This window comes from Homo sapiens, chromosome 12 (genome assembly GCF_000001405.40).
Source record: "Homo sapiens chromosome 12, GRCh38.p14 Primary Assembly".
In the NCBI taxonomy this organism is placed as follows: Eukaryota; Metazoa; Chordata; class Mammalia; order Primates; family Hominidae; genus Homo; species Homo sapiens.
The window spans coordinates 32,827,155-32,848,223 of NC_000012.12; the positions used below are offsets into that span (position 1 = coordinate 32,827,155).

At 40.4% G+C, this 21,069-nt stretch overlaps 1 protein-coding gene across 10 annotated transcripts in view, besides 1 other annotated feature; it reads right to left on the bottom strand.

Moving 5' to 3' along the window:
* The window catches only part of PKP2 (plakophilin 2), a 106,023-nt gene that overhangs the window by 36,400 nt on the left and 48,554 nt on the right, over positions 1 to 21,069 (bottom strand). For 8 of the 10 annotated variants that reach the window (NM_001407156.1, NM_001407155.1, NM_001005242.3 and 5 more), the window contains one exon: positions 13,874 to 14,051. In NM_001407156.1, coding sequence (NP_001394085.1) covers positions 13,874 to 14,051 — 178 coding nt within the window. Of the gene's footprint in view, positions 1 to 13,873; positions 14,052 to 16,027; positions 16,160 to 21,069 lie in introns of all 10 variants that reach the window. The other 2 variants (NM_004572.4, NM_001407157.1) reach the window with 1 other exon arrangement.
* Positions 6,855 to 7,384: an enhancer, noted in NCBI's record as "NANOG hESC enhancer chr12:32986943-32987472 (GRCh37/hg19 assembly coordinates)". NCBI's record gives its function as "activates a minimal SCP1, AML or CMV promoter by ChIP-STARR-seq in naive H9 embryonic stem cells {active_cell/tissue: H9 hESC(naive)}" and the evidence as "EXISTENCE:reporter gene assay evidence [ECO:0000049][PMID:30033119]".

Consider the following 21,069-nt stretch of genomic DNA (forward strand, 5'->3'; position numbering starts at 1 on the left):
TTTATTTCGGGTTAGAATGGTAAGTCAAGTTGGCAGTACTGCCAGTTCACAAGTACTAACTGTTGTCTTGCTGTTTGGTATTATCCAGACTCTACTTGCTTGAAATGGGACTTATCAGGGGTTTCTGGCAGTTGATACTTTTGCTGACAGAAAGTGCATGGAACCCCATTGCTTTAGTATTTGCTCCTGCATATCAAAAATAGTTCCCACCTTACTCAACTACACAGAAATATGAATGATAAGGGTAGATTATTTTATACCACTGCATCCATGAATAGAAGTCATTAGACAGAAAGTAATTTGTTATTGCACCATTCCGAAAATAACCAATAACTATAGAAAATGATACATCCATCTTAAAATATTTTTTTTTAACAGCTAGTACTTAAGCTTGTGGGAATCAGAAAATTAACATGGCTACCTTTAGGCAGAATTGATCTTTTTTACAACGTATCTCTTGAATCATAAGAACTATTTATTGATTGGTTTCCCATACATTACCCAATGGTGGCTCAATAGAAAAATATCTCAAAACTGTAAGTGAAATATACTGAAACAATTACCTTATCGAAAATTAAAAGAGAATGAGCATACAAACATGGTAGTTACTTAATAAATAGTGCTTATTAAAGTTACCAATAGAATATATTAAAAACGTGTAATTTAGTGCCTGTCGTTTGCATTTGATTAAACGATGGGTTTATTTCCTCTGGTATAATCAAGCCTAAGTCTGAGTAAATATCTGCAGACCTTTAAGAAAACTAAAACTGCATACTGTTATATACTGAAATTTAAAAACAGGTCCTTAGGGGTTGAAGGCAAGGGGCCAGGGCCTTAGGAGAAGTAGAGTGAGGAAGGAGACAAATTACTCTTCACATAAAGGCAGGAATTATTTGGAGTTCTTCACCTCCACTGGTCCCAAATGGGAAGACGCCAGTTTGACTTGTGGCCAGTGCTTGATATCGGGAAGAATCTCTCTAGCAATGTGACTTGTAATGGGGGAAGAAATAGAATCTGGACCTCTGTGTGTCTCTGAAATGGTCACGGAGCTTCACATATTTAGGGGGATTCAGGTGTTTTATCAGAAAGCAAATCTGTGACTTTTCACTCCCTCTAGGACCTCTTATCTCACACATTCCTGAGTGTCACAATGAAAAAGAGAAAAGAAAACACAACACCCTGGACCTTGATAGAATTAAAAGAAAGAATGGTATGTTAATGGTTGAGATTAATGACAGTGTGAGTAAATCTTAGATTCATATGGTAAACCAAAGAATGGACAGTGACAAATGGAAAAAAACAGCTGCAATTTAGTGTTTGCACTAGACATTATGGTAGGCAACTTATAAATAGCATGATCTGTAATTTTCACAAAATTCCTGAAATTAGGGTACCCTAGAATTTCATTCTGGGAAATTCTGACCTGTGATTCTCATTTAAAATCAGAATTAACTGCTCTAACAGGATTGTTACAGGCTCTTCCACATAAGGTAGGATATAAAGTAGTTTGTCTGTGGCTATGTGCAGGGGTGCTGTCAAATATGCTTAATTGACCAGTGCTGAAAGGAAGTTTGTTACAACACAGAACATCCAAGCTTAGTGTACAGTGTGTGGTCAGCTGGCCTGGGGAAACAATGAGCTGAAGGAGATGGTTAAAGTAAAAGGCTACAGTTAGTTTCCAGGACATGAGAATGGCCGGGAACAATAACGTCTGAGTGCATCTTTTCAAGACACTTCACCACCATACAAAATAAATAACTTTAGGAGGCAGAAATTTTTTTTTGTTTTGTTTTGTTTTTTTGAGATAGTCTCACTCTATCGTCCAGGCTGTAGTGCAGTGGCATGATCATACCTCACTGCAGCCTCAACTTTCCAGGCTCAAGCAGTGCACCTATCTCAGCCATCTGAGTAGGTGCGACTATAGGCATGCACTGCCGAGCCCAGCTAATTTATTTTTTGTACAGACAGAGTCTATGTTGCCCAGGCTGGTCTTGAACTCTTCGCCTCATGTGATCCTCCAGCCTGGCCCCCAAAGTGCTGGGATTACAGGTGTAAGCCCCTGTGCCTGGCCCAGAAATTTCTTTATTTTTTATTTATTTTTTCTTATTTTTTTTTTTTGAGATAGAGTCTCACTCTGTTGCCCAGGCTGGAGTGTGGTGGCACAATCACAGCTCACTGCAGCCTTAACCTCCTCGGCTCAAGGGATCTTCCCACCTCAGCCTCCTGAGTAGCTGGGACTACAGGCGCATGTCACCATGCTCAGTGGATTTATTTTTTGTAGAGACAGGGTCTCATGGCATTGCCCAGGCTGGTTTCAAACTCCTGGTTTCTAGCAATCCTTCTGCAAAGTGCTGGGATTACAGACGTGAGCCACCGTGACCAGCCAAAATTTTGTTTTTTAAATGGGACTATTGCTACTTGATAATGGGTATGGTTTTTTAACTAACACACAGTTTATGTGCATGTATTGTATACAAGGCCTGGTGGCTGTGGGACCAGTCTTTTATTTTATTTTATTTTTTTTGAGATGGAGTCTCACTGTGTTGCCCAGGCTGGAGTGCAGTGGCGAAATCTTGGCTCACTGCAACCTCCGCTGCCCAAGTTCAACGGGTTCTCCTTCCTCAGCCTCCTGAGTAGCTGGGATCACAAGTGTGTGCCACTGCGCCCAGCTAATTTTTGTATTTTTAGTAGAGACAGGGTTTCACCATGTTGGCCAGGCTACTCTCGAACTCCTGACCTCAGGTGATCCGCCTGCCTCAGCCTCCCAAAGTGCTGGGATTACAGGCGTAAACCACTGTACCTGGCCTGGGACCAGTCTTGAAGTTCTAATCAGCACTCTGAGATAGTGATCACCTCAATGGTTTTAAAAAATTATGCACGCATCACCAACAAGTATAGACTTCCTAATACTGTGTAATGTAAATTATATGGTAAGACTCTAAGTGGTACCAGTCAGATAAACACTTGGTAGGCAAAGTTAGAGTCTATTCCAAGACTAAGTAGGTACTTGATGAGACATCGGCTGACATGGAAGCATCCTTCTTCCTCTTGTTATTTGAGATTTAGGCTTGGGCTTTTGTTTAACTCCCACCTGATACATATCAAACAGTTGGGCCTTGTCTGTGATTAACTAAGAGAAGCAGTACAGTCAGCTTGTGGTTGCACACAACAAAAGGGGAGCCTCATTTGAACTGGCAGAGGAAGAAAAACTCGATGCCAAAAGAAGGCTTGTCTGTTATTCTGAAGTCAACATTATTTCCTGAAGGTATCAGCAAACATCAGCCAAAGTCAGCTGTTCATTCTGCAAATAGAGAACATTGGGAGGTAGAACAAGGCCCTACAACCTACACATCTTGGTCCTACGGGGATAAGAAAAATTAATGGAAAAAAGCTATGTTGTCATCTGTTCCACACCAAGAAACTAGAAGGTGGTAGAGGAGAAAATCTATCCTTAAAAATCCTTTAGCTCTGGCCAGGCACGGTGGCTCATGCCTGTAATCCCAGCACTTTGGGAGACCGAGGTGGGCAGATCACCTGAGGTCAGGAGTTCAAGACCGCCTGGCCAACATGGTGAAACCCTGTCTCTATTAAAAATAAAAAAATTAGCTGGGTGTAGTAGCGCATGCCTGTAATCCCAGCTACTTGGGAGGCTGAGGCAGGAGAATCACTTGAACCTGGGAGGCAGAGGTTGCAGTGAGCCGAGATAGTGCCACTGCACTCCAGCCTAGGCAACAGAGTGAGACTGCATCTAAAAAAAAAAAAAAAATCCTTTAGCTCTGCTTTCCTGCATTTTCAGGTTTTCCAAAAGCATTCTGAATAGTTAATTCAGCCAGTAATCATCTGGCTGGTAGGCTACATTAATTTCCTCTCAATTAGCTAGAATATGTTAGGTAGGACAGAATCCCAAATTCCATTTAAAATTAATTATAAACAGCAAACTATAATTTTAAAAATATACCTAAGAGCTATTGCAACTTGAATAAGCATTCTTGACATGTAAAGGAGATGTTTGGAATGTCAGACCAGGAATAAGAAAGATGTTTAAGACCTAGAGTAGAATAATATGATGCTCAATCCATACCTCCAAGATAGGCACAGATTTTAACCACACAATAGTGACAAAATCATCAGTTGCTTTATCCTGATGTATCAGCCCACTCACTTTTTATAATAATGAATAAAAAAAATTTTAGCAGTCATTTTGATTATGATGATAGTCTTAAATTTTTTGGAATAAGACCTTGTGTCACAAAATACAGTTCATAAAACACCAATTTGAGCTATACACAGATATTTTTCTTTAAACATGAAGATGGTATTAAAAGTATCTGAGAAAGACATTCTTGTGAATTCTTTTTTCTGCCCAAGACTCAACTCATAAGCTAACCGATTAAGAAAGCCCAGCAAAAAGAGTCCACTTGATATAATGAGTAAAAATTAATCTTTTGTTTCCTTTCCTGATTTTTATTCCTCTGTATTGTTCCTATTCATGTATTTTCAGGCAGTCAATATTTATGCACTGATTGATAAGAATAAAGAGTCTCTTTAGCAAAGAGAAGTGTTACATAATTTCTGTAAAGTACAACTTTTAATCTGGACCAATCTGGTAAAGATATGAATAGGACAGTGGAAAATGATAGTCTGAAGAACAGGGACCTTTGTAAGGTGGTCAACTGGTTGTAGATGGGCTGCTTCAGCATCTCAGTGAGACATGTACTCTTAAAAACACTGGGTTCAGGAAGAACATGGGTGACCAGGCAAGCATAGCCATATTTGTTTTGATTTTATTTGTTTGCTTTAACAACTTAAGAACTGTTGAGAGATTTCAAAATAATGGCCTAAAACCCTGAAGCTTAGTTCATAAAACAATCATTTTTAAAAATCAGGATCTTATTTACCCATTTAAATACCACTTCCACCTTTTAAATTTACTTAAAGAAAAAGCTGGCCAGGCGGGGTGGCTCCTGTAATCCCAGCACCTTGGGAGGCCAAGGCAGGCAGATCACGAGATCAGAAGATTGAGACTATCCTGGCCAACATGGTGAAACCCCGTCTCTACTAAAAATACAAAAAATTAGCTGGGCGTGGTGGTGCGCACCTGTAGTCCCAGCTACTCAGGAGGCTGAGGCAGGAGAATTACTTGAACCTGGGAAGCGGAGGTTGCAGTGAGCCAAGATTGTGCCACTGCACTCCAGCCTGGTGACAGAATGAGAGTCTGTCTCAAAAAAAGAAAAAAAAAAAATTTACAAAGTAATTTAATTAATTAAACCATGTACTTGTTTGTATATCTAAAGTAACCAACAGAAAATATGGTTATGACTGGTTATGATAGTATAACATTAGAAATATTGCCAATTCCATTATTTATTAACTTCATATTGCTTATGTTTACACATGAAACATAAAGAGTTTAAATAATTAGCCAAATAACTGAGGCTGAAGTTGATGATTCAGTTGTCTTTCTATTTTTGGGAAAGCCAATCTCTGGGGTGAACTATCTAGATACTTTCATCAAGTTTCCATTTTGTTTGCACTATCTCATCTAGCATTACTCTTCTAGTTTTATGGTAAATTCTTCTCCAGAAGTAAATGCATTTAGATTCTGATTTTCAATAGTAAGTTCTGGCCTCTTTTGGGGTCTACATCTTACAAAAAAGAAAAATAGCTATTTGATAGTCAAGAAAATTAGACCCTGATTTAATTATCTTCTTAATTATCTGGGACTATGCACAAGGCTAGATCAAATAAGTCATGAGTATTCAGAATAAGATATGGATGAGCAAAGGTAACTAGAATGAAAATGCATACAGGCCAGGCACGCTGGCTCACACCTGTAGTCCCAGCACTTTGGGAGGCCAGGCAGGCAGATCATGAGGTCAGGAGTTTGAGACCAGCCTGGCCAATATGGTGAAACCCCGTCTCTACTAAAAATATGAAAACCAGCTGGGCGAGGTGCCGTGCACCTGTAGTCCCAGCTACTCGGGAGGCTGAGACAGGAGAATTGCTTGAACCTGGCAGGCAGAGGTTGCAGTGACCTGAGATCATGCCACTGCACTCCAGCCAGGGTGACAGAGCAAGACTCTGTCTCAAAAAATAAACAAATAAATAATACAAAAAGAAAGAAAAGAAAATGCATAATCATGAAAATGTAGATGCAGTAAATTTCTAAAGTTTGGTACCAAGATACGCATTAAAAATTATATTTGGTATGTGGTTTTTTTGGTGTGTATGTGCTGGAGAAGACAGTTGTAACTGAATGCATTAAAAATGTACATGGAGACATTCATTTTCCAGAGAGTAGCTCATATTGATATTCCAAAACAACTTGCCCTTAACTCTGTGACTAATTAGAAACAAGACTGATAGTTATAGCCTTTCTTTCCAAAGGTATGGTTTGCTTCCTCTGACAACTCCCCACTCCAGCTAGATTTCCAGTGTAAGAGACAATGAAAATTTCTTTTAAGAATTTAAATAATTTTAAGTAATAAAATTTAATATATAAAAGGATATTATACATTCAAAACACATTTACTATACGATGACAGGTGGGAAAAAGTGAAGTTTATGCCATTTGTAGGAGAAATGCATTACAAATTGCTTTTCTTCTTTAACCAGCATACACAGGCATAAAATGCATTGAGAAAAAAGAATATGTTTTAAAATGTGTAATGACAAATTCTGGGGAGGCCTTCACAAAGCAGACTGCACCTTTATCTTAAGGTGGCAATTTTATAAGCCTGTCTCGTAAGTGGACGGTCAAGAAACTATAGTAACTCAGGAAAGTGACTTTTTAGGGCTTTATGAATTCACATTTTTAATATGACTACAGTATTTAAGAACGTTGGTGATGACCTAATGATAGAATGATGAACTAAAGACTGAGAGGGACATTTAAACACCTACTCATCCTTTAACAGCTCTTTAAGTTTGACTTTCTCCAGAAAAAATTCCCAACTCCCAAGGCAAAGTTAGTGAAGCAACTTTCATCCCTCTCTTAAATCTCTTACCAAATGCATTGTCATGATCTCTTCAGGTGCCAGTTTCCTCCACGAAACCCAGAGTTCCTCCAGGGCAAAAATAGGTCCCATTCCCTTTTGAAATCTCAGAAATTTAAATAGTGGTTTGGATAGAGCAGGCCTTCAACAAGTACTCAAGGAATAACAATAGGGTTGGATAAGAGGGAGAATAAAGGCAGACCAGTGGCAGAATACCAAGAAGGCTGGACTAGCTAGCTGTCATTCTCAAATTTCTGATAGCTGGTTCTACAATTGCGGAAGAGTCTTGGGGACTTAATTTCTTCACCTGAAGAATGAGGCCACTAACAGAAGCTCCCTAGATGTGTTTGTTTTTGACCTAAATGTTTTCCAAAACTTGACTCTCACTGCTCTTGGGGCAAGTGTTTTTTCCCTTCTCTAGTCTGATGGAGCCCCTACCATTCCTCATGGTCTTACACCTGCCCACTTAAGTGCCTACCTGAACTCTGAGGCATTTTAATTTATTACCTCTAAATTGCTTCCAGTTCTTGTCCTTTAAGAGAAGAAAGAAGACTGGGGGGGAGGAGGGAAGAAAGAAGAAAAGAAAGAGGAGGAAAGAAGCTATAAGAATAATATGCAGAAATGATGATAAAACTTTGGCAGCAATTTCAGACTTCTCCCGAATAATAAACATTGGTTTTATTGATGCTACATCCAGGGGTTTTCCAATCAGTGATGTAGAAAACAGAGTTAATAGTCAGGTCACACCAATGCCCTAGGAACTGATACTATGAGCCACAGTATAAATTCACACTAAATTAAAAAAAAAAAAGGGACTCACAATAGGCGTGTGTGTGTGTGTGTGTGTGTGTGTGTGTGTGTGTGTCTAGGAGGGTATGGAATCAAAGAAGACAGCCATTTCTTTTTTTTTTTCTTTTTTTTTGAAGTAGAGTCTTGCTCTGTTGCCCGGACTGGAGTGCAGTGGCGCGACTTCGGCTCACTGCAAGCTCTGCCTCCCGGGTTCAAGCGATTCTCCTACCTCAGCCTCCCGAGTAGCCGGGATTACAGGTGCCCGCCACTACACCCAGCTAATTTTTTGTATTTTTAGTAGAGATGAGGTTTCACCATGTTGGGCAGGCTGCTCTTGAACTCCTGACTTTGTGATCCGCCTGCCTTGGCCTCCCAAAGTGCTGGGATTACAGGCATGAGCCACCGTGCCCGGCCTACTTTTGGGTAGTTTAAAATTCTAAGCCTATTATATAAATATTTTGGAATTTAAAATATTTGGAAGAGCAATCTGATAACTGCAATACATATTTTAACTAAGTTATACTTCTTACTCCAAGTAAATAAAGGAGGCTGTGAAAAAAAAAGATATTTTAGCAGCTTTTCTCCACTGAAGAAGAAAAAGAGGAAAAAAAGAAAAAGAGGAAAAAAAAGAAAGAAAAAAAAGCAAGAAGAAGAAAACATGCTGAAGTTTCCTTATACTGTCCAAGAAAACAAAGGAATTGTTTCTTCTTTGAAAAGGAATGTTTTAGAGAAATATGCCTGTACCTTAGTTATCTAGATTGTGATGTTAAAGTAGTCAACTAATGGAAATTCAATGCTAGCAGCGTGCTGATAAATGTTTAACAACCAGCTTTCTGGGGCTGGGGGAGGGGGAGATGTCTGACTTACAGAGTTTACCAATTTCTTTCTTTCTTTGTTTTTAGAGATGGGTCCATGTAGCCCAGGCTGGACCTCTGGGCTCAAGCAATCCTCCTGCCTCAGCCTCCCAAGTTGTTGAGACTACTGGCACACACCACCATGCCTGGCTTGTTTGCCAGTTTCTTAGTAAAATACTCCCATCATGGCTAGTTTCAAGCTACCAACATGATGTCACTGAACATGGAATTATGCTGAAATGCCAAGAATCACTCTCACTTGCTGGCTCCAACACACTGGAGTGTACAATTTATTTTCCTCTCCTATCTTGGATTTTCCCACTCATTAAGCTAGTGTAGTATTACTTAAGAAAAAATTGGAAACTTACGTGGGCACATGGTTATCCCTATTGCAAAATCTGCATCACCTTTAAGTGAGTGACTTCAATTGTGAAAAGTATGTAATTCCAAAGGGACCTAAAGACAGCACTGATGCCTGTGGTAAATGCTGTTGTGGGCACATGCTCATCCTAAAGACAAATGATCCGATACATCCTCAAGGTGGTGGACCTGACAGTGCTAGTCTTTTTTGAAGGATAAGTTATGCATGTTCTCTTAGATGAGTGATCTCACCATAGAAGCTTCAGATGGGCAGAACTGAAGTCACTAACACAAGTTCATTAGTTAAGCAAACATTTTATATGCAGAGCAGATTTACTCAGCACCATTGCCACATGCAGACCAGAAATGATCTCAATGTCAAGTCTAGTAAACGGAGAAAGTTCACTGTTGTATGCACAAGTTTTTCTCCAAAATGGATGGAAATAATTTACTATAGTAATCTAAATCAAACACAATGCCTGAAATACTACTCAATTTAGTTCACTGTCGGCTCTGAATACACTCTCGGCTCTGAAAATAACACCAATGAATTTGTGGCAATTAAGATATTCGGTAACATTCATGATTTTTAAAAATATAGCTAAGATTAACTCTTACTAGAACGAGTCAACATCTGTCTTAAGATTTTTAAGAGTGAGCTGTAGACATAAATGAGCAACTACTCAGCAGATACCTCTATGTCCTGGAAATCAATGCTACGTGACTGCAGGTTCCATGGAGTTCTTTTCTTACATTCTGACTCATATCCTGAGTATTCTCCTAGTGGCCTTTCTATTCATTGTGACAACATTTACCCTGAAGTTGTCTACAATGCCATCTCCTACCTTGGAAAGGTGTCCCATTTCATATGCTTCATCTTTGTATCTTCTTTGATTATATGAAATGCAGTGCAGAGTTCTACATGCACAGAACTTCAAAAAGAACAACACTGAAATGCTGATACAGTGCCCATAATGACAACTGAATATGTCTGTAAATTGGCAATATCTGACCCTGTGATGTCTTGAGACTATGAAGGGCAGGGGCTTTATCCACAAAATCACAATCTGTGGACATGTGACAAATACTAATGTATCTAGCATACTGACTAAGACCTTCGAATTTGAAGACAAGCTTCCGGCATTTGAGTTTCAACTCTGTCTACTACTAGCCATATGACTTTAGGAAAATCACTCAACCTCTCTGAGGCTGTTTCCTCATCTATAAAATGAGGAAAACCTATCTTGTAGGGAGTGCTACTGAGAGTAAACTGAGAAAAGCCTCATAAAGCATTTAGAGCAGTTTCTAGAACATAACAACAATAAATGTTAGCTATTATTGTTATAAATTAGATATACAGATGAAATCGGAATGGACAGTTTAGTAAGCATATACATTATGGCACTCACTTCCCAGATTTTGGCTATATTCTGCTTTTGGAAGGTGAAATTCAAATGAGTGGTCTGGACTGTTTTGCAAACACTGTTTAAAACAGTGCTATTCTGACTGGAGTGTATTCAGCTACTATATGTTCTGAAAAATGTGTGCCAACCAGGGCATTGCTACAACCAACCAATGTATAGCTTCTACTCATCAATCATAAGGGGAGACTACAGGAAGAGATTTGTAACTAACATCGTTGCCTTTAGATTTTTACCTTCACAATACACCTTTCCTGTTAATACTATTATTCTTCTTCTTCCCACAAAAATTATCATATCTCTGTCCTCCATACTAGCTAATTTTGCTTACAGAAGAAAAAAATTAACTCCTGTTTCTCAAAGAACTGAAAATAGAATTACCATTCAATCCAGCAATCCCATTACTGGGTGTATATACAAAGGAAAATAAATTGTTCTATCAAAAAGGCACATGCGCTCGCATGTTCATCGCAGGACTGTTCGCAATAACAAAGACATGGCTAGGTTCCCATCAATAGGGGACTGGATAAGGAGAATGTGGTATACATACACCATGGAATACTACACAGCCAAGAAAAAGAATGAAATCGTGTCCTTGGCAGCAACATGGATGCAGCTGGAGGCCATTATTCTAAGCAAATTAATGCAGCAACAGAAAACCAAATATCACATGTTCTCACTTAAAAATGGGAGCTAAACACTGGGTACAAATAGACACAAAGATGGGAACAATAAACACTGGGGATTTCAAAAGCAGGGAGGGACAGAGCAGGAAAAAGGGTTGAAAATCCATCTATTGGGTACTAAGTTCACTATTTGAGTGATCGGCACATTAGAAGGCCAAACCTCGGCATCACGCAATGTACCTGTGTGACAAACCTGTACATGTACTTCCTGAATCGAAAATTAAAAAAAAAAAAAATTAACTCCTTAATGTGATCCTCAAGATCGCCACTATCTGGCTTTAGCCTATGTTTCCAATTTCTGTTTGATTACTTTCTATCACAAACTCCATACTCTTATCAGACTTGATTATTCACCAATTTCACCATCAATTTTCATTTGTTCACTCATTCATTTATTCATTTTATTCAAATACCTTGCTTACTTACTATATGCTGAAAACTTTGCTAAGTGTCAGGCATTAAAAATGTTTTTTAAATGCATAGGCTTAGCTTTTATGGCAAAATCTATTAATAGTAGCAAAGGTATGTAAACAACTATCATATAACAGCAATGTGACAAAATCAGTAACAGTGGTGACTTGGCTATGAACTCCCGTTTGAACCCTCAGGAACAAGCACTAGCTTTTGCTGGGGAAGCTGGAAAATGTTTCATAGAACATTTATGAACATTATGAACTTTATCTTTGGTTTTAAATCGTTAGGAGATTAAGTATTCAACAGGCAGATAATAGAAAATGTTTACCAGGCAAATAAAATTAAATAAAGTATTGATATGAAAGTACTATGACATCTAAGGAAAAGCAAGCACTTTGGTGGGTGTGAAGTATATCTGTGGGAAAAAAGGTGGTAATGAAGGTTGTGGATAGACTGAAAAAGGCTGTGTATGCTGTGATGGACCAAGATGTCTTCCATTTTTGTTTGGTTCACCCACTAAGTTCTTCCACCCCTTTTCTTATGGTAACAGATTTTGCTGTCCTTGCTATAAAAGGAGGTATCTGATCCAGGCTTGGACAATCCAGGCCAACAGTTGCTCAAATGATGTGCCCCTTTCTGAATCAAGGCCAGGAAAAAACTTTCCCTGTGATTGGCACAATCATTTTAAGAAAGATGTGCACTTTTTTTTTTTTTTTTTTGTGGCTAAGCAAGGGCTGCCTACGATTAAGTTATCTGCTCAGTAGAGAAGGCTTCTTTGCATTTGCAGGAAATGAGCCCACTATGAAAAAAGAAGAGCAAGCAGAGATGACATACAAACAGAAAAAGAGTGAGTCCTAGGAATGCTGAATTCTGTCCCAAAAAGGGAATACGGTCATGGTTCCTGGTATACTTCCTTCACTTCCTCAAGTGACCTGCAATATCTCAGCCACATGGGCCAATGAATTCCGACTTGTTTCAGTGAGTTTAAGTTCGGTTCCCACCATTTTCAATGGAAAGAGTCCTAATACATCTGCCATACTAAGAACTCTGTTTTATGTGGTAAGGCAATGGGAGCTGGAGAGAAACTTTAAGACGTGAAATATGTTTAAGCAGGTGAGCGATGGATCAAAGTGCACTAGAAAAGCAGATTCAATGGGCAGTACAGAAGATGGATTCGAGGAAGGCCACTTAGGCACTTCTTATGCCTTTCAAGAATGTGGTCCTTTATCTTTAGAGAATTTCTGACTACCAAAATAGTCCAGCAAGGCCCAGCTCACTCGACACCTCTTTTCTAGTGCCCTTCTGATCTCACCAGATGCCATGAATGGTCCTTTGTTCTGCATTCCCGCAGCACTTCACTTGCACCTTTGACATCCTAGTTCGCAAACTTCAGTGACTGTCAGAATCACCTAGAGGCTTGTTAAAACTAGATTGCTGGGCCCAACCTTGAGTGTTTCTGATTCAGAAGGTCTGGGGTGGGACCTGAGAATTCTAACAACTTCCAGGTGGTGCTGGACCTGTGGCCAGCTTTGAGAACTGCTGCTCTAACACATTTCATTGTAGCTGTCTTCTAGTTCACTTGCTTATCTGTGTCCCCTGCTCCACTAAACATTTCTTACGGATATTCTTGTTTTATATTTTTTGAGACAGGGTCTTGCTCTGTCACTCAGGCTAGAGTGCAGTGGTGCAATCATGGCTCACTGGAACCTCAACCTCCTGTGCTCAAGAGATTCTCTGTCCCAGCCTCCTGAGTAGGTGGGACTACATGTGCACACCACCATGTCCAGCTAATTTTTTCATTTTTTTGTGGAGACAGGGTCTTGCTATGTTGCCTAGGCTGGTCTCGAACTCCTGACCTCAACTGATCCTTCTGCCTCAGCCTCCCAAAGTGCTGGTATTACAAGTGTGAGCCACCGCACCCAGCCAAGGGTTTTCTTATTCATCTTTGTATAGCCTTCAGTAGCTAACATAATGCTTTACACAAAATTGGTATTTGATATGTATTACTGTGTGATTAACTATGGAGATAAAATAAACATCTTATCATAATAAATTCTTTCAGTTACCATCCAAATAAAGTCTCTCAAAAAATAAACTGTGTAGGCCGGGCACGGTGGCTCACGCCTATAATCCCAGCACTTCGGGAGGCCAAGGCAGGTAGATCACTGTACTCCAGCCTGGGCAACAGAGCGAGACTCTGTTTTAAAAAAGATAAATAAATAAATAAAATAAACAAACCATCAAACAAACTGTGTAACTAGAAAAGAACCAAAGGCAGAATATATCCTGACTTCCTTGGGGCTACCTAATTTTTTATTGCATCTTCTATCAGGGCAGGGTACAGGTAGCATTACCTTAGGCATCCAGTGACGTTGTAGAATATGTCAAAATCGAGCAAACCATTTGCTTTTGGGTAGTCTCCTTCAGGCCACCCAGAAAAGGGGATGATGATATTCTCCGTCAGCGTAAGCAATGCTTCTGTTATCATGAGATTCTTGAGTTTGTCATTAGATGACAAATTCCACAGCAAACCTAGAAAAGCACAGAGTTACCATGAAAACAGTGCAGGGTGGGACCAAAATGACCGCTGAAAAGTTCAGTCAAGGCCATCAACTCCAGGGCTATGACTAGTCATAAAAAAATTTGGGGGGTTGGGGGGCCAGCCTCTTTCTCAACTAGAAGAACCCAATTAGAACTCATTAGATGGTGATGGAGGCTGACCCACATGAGCAATAAATACATGGCTTAGGCTACAAACTGTGCAGGTTTAAACTAATCAGATATACAAATAAAGGCCAGACATGCTTAAGCATTTATTGCTGTTTCTCCTAAAGGGCCCTACCACAAAGCTGACCTGACCGGGATAATAAAGTCTGGGCTCACCAATAGGCAGGCTTAAAATGGTCCTATTGTAACTAAAACTTCAACATTTTTAAAGAGTCATATTTTTTTCTCCCTTAGATACACATGGGAAAATATCTTCCCTGCCTCCTTCCCCACTAACTGTAACTTTCACCTGACATTGTGCCTCCCAGTAAGAGCAGGGAAGGTCTGCAGAAAGCCTTTCTCCATGCCTGTCAACAGGAAGCTGATCAACATCACCAATTAATGTTATTGACTGTTACCCAATGACAGAATCATGTCCTCCAGCAATTTATTCTGGCTACCTCATGTATCCTTATTTTATAGTTTGGCAGTGAAGGAGAGACAACAGCATCTTCCCTATTGGCCAACTTGCATGGCCTAAGTACTGCTCAAAGATTAGTACCCTATTTACTCATTAAATTTTCTCTTTCCTCTTGAATCCCCCATATTAAAGAGAAAGACCATATAGGCCAATCCAGAAGAAACTGAGATAATAGCATGTTGTACTTTATAAGGTATATACTGTGACATACAGACTGAGGCTGAGTACTGAGAGAAAATAGAAAGTGGCATATACGTTTAGGATTTTTTTTGTTTTTGAAATTTGGAGCTCGAATCCTTCTGATTCAGTGGAAGGAAGACTGTACACTGATTGCTTGCTATTCCAGGGACTCCCAGCAGGTGTAAAGTTGCCTCGTCATCTTTCTTTCTTTTTTTTTGAGACTGCGTCTCACTCTATTGCCCATGCTGGAGTGCAGTGGTGGCTTGATCTCGGTTCATTGCAATCTCCACCTCCCAGGTTCAAGCAATGCTCCTGCCTCAGCCTCCCAAGTAGCTGGAATTACAGGCGCCCGCCACCATGCCTGACTAATTTTTGTATTTTCGGTAGAGACGGGTTTCACCATGTTGGCCAGGCTGGTCTCAAACTCCTGACCTCAAATGATCTGCTGCCTCGATCTCCCAAAGTGCTGGGATTACAGGCATGAGCCATTGCCTGGCCCGCCTCATTATCTTTCATACCGTAATGGGTTACACTAACTCACTAATGCCCAGGAAAAGGAGAAGAGGGGCAGAAAGAGAAGGGATGACTCTTCCCTTTCTACCCTATCCTTCTCACTGCCCAGGCAACAATTCCTACTTCTTTTTTCTCCCCCGAGATGGAGTACTGCTTTGTTGCCAAGGCTGAAGTGCGGTGGCGCAATCTCGGCTACCTGCAACCTCTGCCTCCCAGGTTCAAGCAATTCTCCTGCCTCAGCTTCCCGAGTAGCTGGGATTACAGGCACACACCACCATGCCTGGCTAATTTTTGTATTCTCAGTAGAGACGGGGTTTCACCATGTTGGCCAGGCTGGTCTCGAACCCTTGACCTGGTGATCCGCCCACCTCGGCCTCCCAAAGTGCTGAGATTACAGGCGTGAGCCACTGTGCCTGGCCCAGCAATTCCTACTTTTTTTTTTTTGAGACAGAGTCTCACTCGGTAACCTAGGCTGGAGTGTAGTGGCACAATCTTGGCTCACTGCAACTTCTGCCTCCCGGGTTCAAGTGATTCTCCTGCCTCAGTCTCCTGAGTAGCTGGGATTACAGGCGCAGACCACGACACCCGGCTAATTTTTTTGTATTTTGAGTAGAGACAGGGGTCTCACCATGTTGGTCAGGCTGGTCTCGAACTCCTGACCTCGTGATCCGCCCGCCTTGGCCTCCCAAAGTGCTGGGATTACAGGCGTGAGCCACCGCGCCCGGCCAGCCATTCCTACTTCTTAAATTGACTGTATGGTCTGTACAAAGGAAAGAGGAAGCATAGGTACTCAGGGCAGGCTCCTTTATGAACACAGCAAATGTGGCAGACTTGGCTGAACTATGTGGCAAACATCACCTCCCCTGAAATAAGAGCCTGTATAGTTAAAGCTTGGTAATTACTCAGCATACTTATATTTGGTCCAACCAATTAGAACACATTAGGCTTCATGCAGTCTTTTGGGCTTAAACAGTTTGCTTCTGCTGTGCACAGGTAGCTACTTTTTGAAACTGTAACCAGATTTCCACTGGAGCCTACACAGAGCTTCCATTAGATACAGTGACACTGTGTCTGGTGTCTTGTGAGGACTAGATTTCTGGCTTATGAGGAGGTATTTTCCTGATCAAACTAGCATTTGGGGTTAAGGAGCAGTGTCCCTCAGCCACAGGTTTTGCAATACAATGACTTCATTCCTCCTGCTTCTCCTTAAGAGGCCCTGGAAGAGGGACAGATAAAACTCAGAAGGTGGTTGAAAACAATTTAAAGACAAGTCTGAGGCTGAGTTTTGGTTACTAAGCTACAAAAGCAAGTTAGAAAGAAGAGAGAAATGAAGAAAAAAAACAAAAGCTTCTTTAGTCCTAAATAAGCAAACAAATTAATAGTCTCTGCCTGCCAGAAGCTTAAGAATGTGAAGCATAATGACATTTCCTCCTTTTAAAAAGGACCACACAGGACACTCAAAGAAAAAGTACACCTTACAATAAAAACCAGAGAGGATTAATTGGAACAAAGGGAGTGGAATTTTCCTTCAACAGTCAATATCCTTTAGAGCTTGCCATGCTCCATTATTTCTACAAAAGTATATGATTTTGGAAGTTTCAGCATAATTTTAGAATTTCTAATATAGGATTTTGCATAGAAATGTCATGCCTGTCAAATTTCTGGGTGGCATGAAAGCTGTGAAAGAACTAAGATGTTCAATAGAGATTCAGAATTACATATGCTCATACACACATACCCTCACACAAAATCAGTGAGTAACCAACTACAAACTGGGAAAATATGTACAATATGAGATAAAAGTTTAATACTCTTAATATATAGAATTTTTATAAATCACTAAAAAGCGAAACACCAGTAGAAAAATTGGGAAGGTACATAACACAAAACCAACTGATATTAGGAGCTAATGTACACAGGAATCCATGTTCTCTAGTAACTAAAGAAATACAAATTTAAACAACTAGATATCATTTTCCATGACTAGAGGAGGCAAAACCAGAACCGATGAGTGGAAATTCTAAAGAAGGAGATTTTGGCTCACTGAAAGTATAAACTTCTAAGAGAGCTTTGAAGAAAACAGAAAGAACTACTTGTAAGACCCAGCTCTATCACTAGAGGGAATAAAAATTAGCTTATCTCTTATCAGAAAGTAGATGAGGGCTTTTACCCTGAAATTAAAGTGTTAGACTAGATGAGCAGTTTCCAAATGAGCCCAGTGACAAAACAGACTCACAGTCTTGGGCCATGCCCCAAATTTGCTGAGCCAGAGTCTCAGGATGGAGTTCAGGAACTTATATTTTAAAAAAAGATTCCAGTTTGGGCATGAGGAAACCAATAGACTAGATGATTCTGAATAGATGTCCCTTCAATGATCAGATTCTGGATTACCTAATATAATATTTACGGTTTGGGTTTTCATGTGTCTCATCCTTAACTTCTGATCAATTTTTTCATAGTGTCTTAATGTCTACTAGTATAGCTCTTTGTTGCAGATGGTCTGTCTGCCTGTAATTTTCTACCATGAGGCTCTCATTCTAGCCAAAAAGAAAGGGATCTGGACTCTGTTAAGGGATATAATTAGAATAATTACCAATTATAAGAGACAATAACTCCATTAGCCAGAAATTTACTGCCAACCGTGATGTTTGTAAAAAATAGCTAACCAGTAAAGGGAGCTTAGATATTACAACTCATGTTAAATAATAATGACCTCGGCTGGGCGCGGTGGCTCATGCCTGTAATCCCAGCACTCTGGGAGGCCGAGGGGGGCGGATCACGAGGTCAGGAGATTGAGACCATCCTGGCTAACATGGTAAAACTCGTCTCTACTAAAAATACAAAAAAAATTAGCCAGGCGTGGTGGCGGGTGCCTGTAGTCCCATCTACTTGGGAGGCTGAGGCAGGAGAATGGCGTGAACCCGGGAGGCGGAGCTTGCAGTGAGCCGAGATCATGCCACTGTACTCCAGCCTCGGCAACAGAGCGAGACTCCGTCTCAAAAAAATAAATAAAAATAATAATAAAAAAATTAATGACCTCTAGGACAGAAAATATAGTAATTTAACAAATCTGCCTTAACACATAGGCAGCAAAACTTACAAGTTTTATGATTAAATAAATCCCTATCTTCAGTGAAAAAGAATGAGGAGGCAGAGATGAGGACAATGACCGCTCGGACAAGGACAAGAAAGAAAACTGGTTCTTTTTAACCGTGTTTTTCAAAGTGGTCAAAGAGTGGGAGGAATTTTTTTTTATTTATTTACAATTTCCCTTGCATAGATATACCCCTCCTTTCACCTAAATTTTGCAAATCTTAACTGGAATATCAGATTATTGAAACGGCCACGTATTCCAAGTTATATATAAACCCAGGGTACCTTGTTACACATTACGAATGCGGAATAAAATAATATACAATTACTTAAAGAAAGTGCATAATAAATATTTTATAGCAAAACATTCTGAGTATTTTATTAAATACAGCAATCCAATTAAGTACTTCTATAAAATATGCAGGGATTAATATGCAGTTTTAACACATTTCACTGACAATTACCCTGACTCTTTCATATGTAATGAAAGAGGGATAAGAACCCCTGCTGCACTCTTATCATGACTTGTCCGTTTTAATCCAAGGCATATCCCTGCTCACTCCAGCCAATGCTCACTACTCAGTGACCTTGAAGATGAACTTCTGAGACTAAGATGTGCCGTTCTCATTTCAATTACGGGAACACTACCACGCTCACTTAGTAAGGGAGAAAGAACAATCTCACCGGGGTGGGGGGAGTGGGGGTGTCTTTGATCCTGAAGTTCTTTCATTAGAAGAGAAGATCCTAGGCTACTACTGCAGAAGTAGAGCGAGAGATGAAGACAGCTTGAACCAAGGCAGAGACAAGAAGACAGAGGGGCCAGCACAGTGGCTCACGCCTGTAATCCCAATACTTTGGGAGGCTGAGGCCGGCAGATCACCTGAGGTCGGGAGTTCGAGACCAGCCTGACCAACATGGAGAAACCTCCATCTCTACTAAAAATACAAAATTAGCCAGGCATAGTGGCGCATGCCTGTAATCCCAGCTACTTGGGAGGCTAAGGCAGGAGAATCGCTTGAATCTGGGAGGCAGAGGTTGCAGTGAGCCAAGACTGCGCCATTGCACTCCAGCCTGGGTAACAAGAATGAAACTTCTTCTCAAAAAAAAAAAAAAAAAAGAAGAGAGAGGAAGGGTGTCAGAGGAGTGAGGAAGAGCTCTCTGATCAGAGGAGTCTCAAAGACAAGCCCCTTCTCAAAGACTATACAAATGAGTCATCACGTGCCTCAAAAGTAGGTGGGGTGACAGCAAAACACTCAGATACAACTAGGTTCAAACCTGGGCTTTGTTCTTTACCATTTAGGCAACCTTGGGCAATTTACTTAACCCCTCTGAGTCTCACACTGATCATATGTAAGTCACCAATTATGCTTTCACCTCTTACGGAGTTGTCAGGAGAAATAGGGATAAAAAAACAGAAAGCCTTAGCTTAGTGACCAACACATAATAGGGGTTCAGAAAAAAAAAAGGTCAAAGAAATAGACCAGTAAGATTCACATATATACTTACTTTCTTTGTGTTTCTAAACAAAGATATAAACATGTCTATATTAGGTTAACAATTTATTTCTGAGGCCCAGAAAGCCCTTATTTAGCTCTTCTATTAGTAGAGCCAAAGGGAGTAATTTAGAAGGATTTGTATCAGATGTTCAAATGTCTGTTTGGTTCAATTAGCATGTAATGAACACCCTCCAGTAGGGATGTTTGGCTTATACTAGAAATCCTGGGTGCTGCACAATCAACTTCCATTTATCAACTCTATAGATGATCTAATGATGCCTGAATGGTTTCACATGGCATCAACATCACAGAATGTTCTCTGACGTTAGTCTCCTATTGCCTATGCAGGAGAAGAGGAAGCGTGATTCAATGGCTTGTTCCCTTGACACACACACACACACGCACGCAAGCACACACACACTTCCCAAGCTTTCTAACTACCAGGCACCCTAACTCCAAATCACGCTATTTTCCATGTCTCCTCTAAATGACCGGCAGCTAGTTTCTTTCTGCCTCTTTGCCTTGCTAGTGATGCTCACTTTGCCAGGAATAACTTTCATCCTCTTTCAAAACACCAATCCAAAGCCTATTCCTTTTTTAAGGTCCACAATGAAACATAACCCCTTCAGGAAGTATTTCCTGACTATAAAACTAGTAGATGGAGAAACAAAATCCAACGCGGGTGCAGTGGCATGTCCCTGTAGTCCCAGCTACTGAGGAGGCTGAGGCAGGAGGATCTCATGAGCCCAGAAGAACAGCCCAGGCAGCACAGCGAGATCCCCATCCTTTAAAAAAAACAAAAACAAAAAAACCCCAAATCCACACCGTCCCTAGGCTGTGATTCTCAGTACCTGACCCCTGAAAGCTGCTCTGTAAATGTTGGTTAAATGAATGGAATCACTTTTAATTTCTACAGGCATTTGAATACAAATCATGGATATGAAAAGAAATCCCTCATGGGACCTGACAGAATGCTGGCAAGAGCGTAGCATGGTACTGGTAGGGCGCGGTGGCTCACGCTTGTAATCCTAGCACTTTGAGACGCGGAGGCAGGCGGATCGCCTGAGGTCAGGAGCTCAAG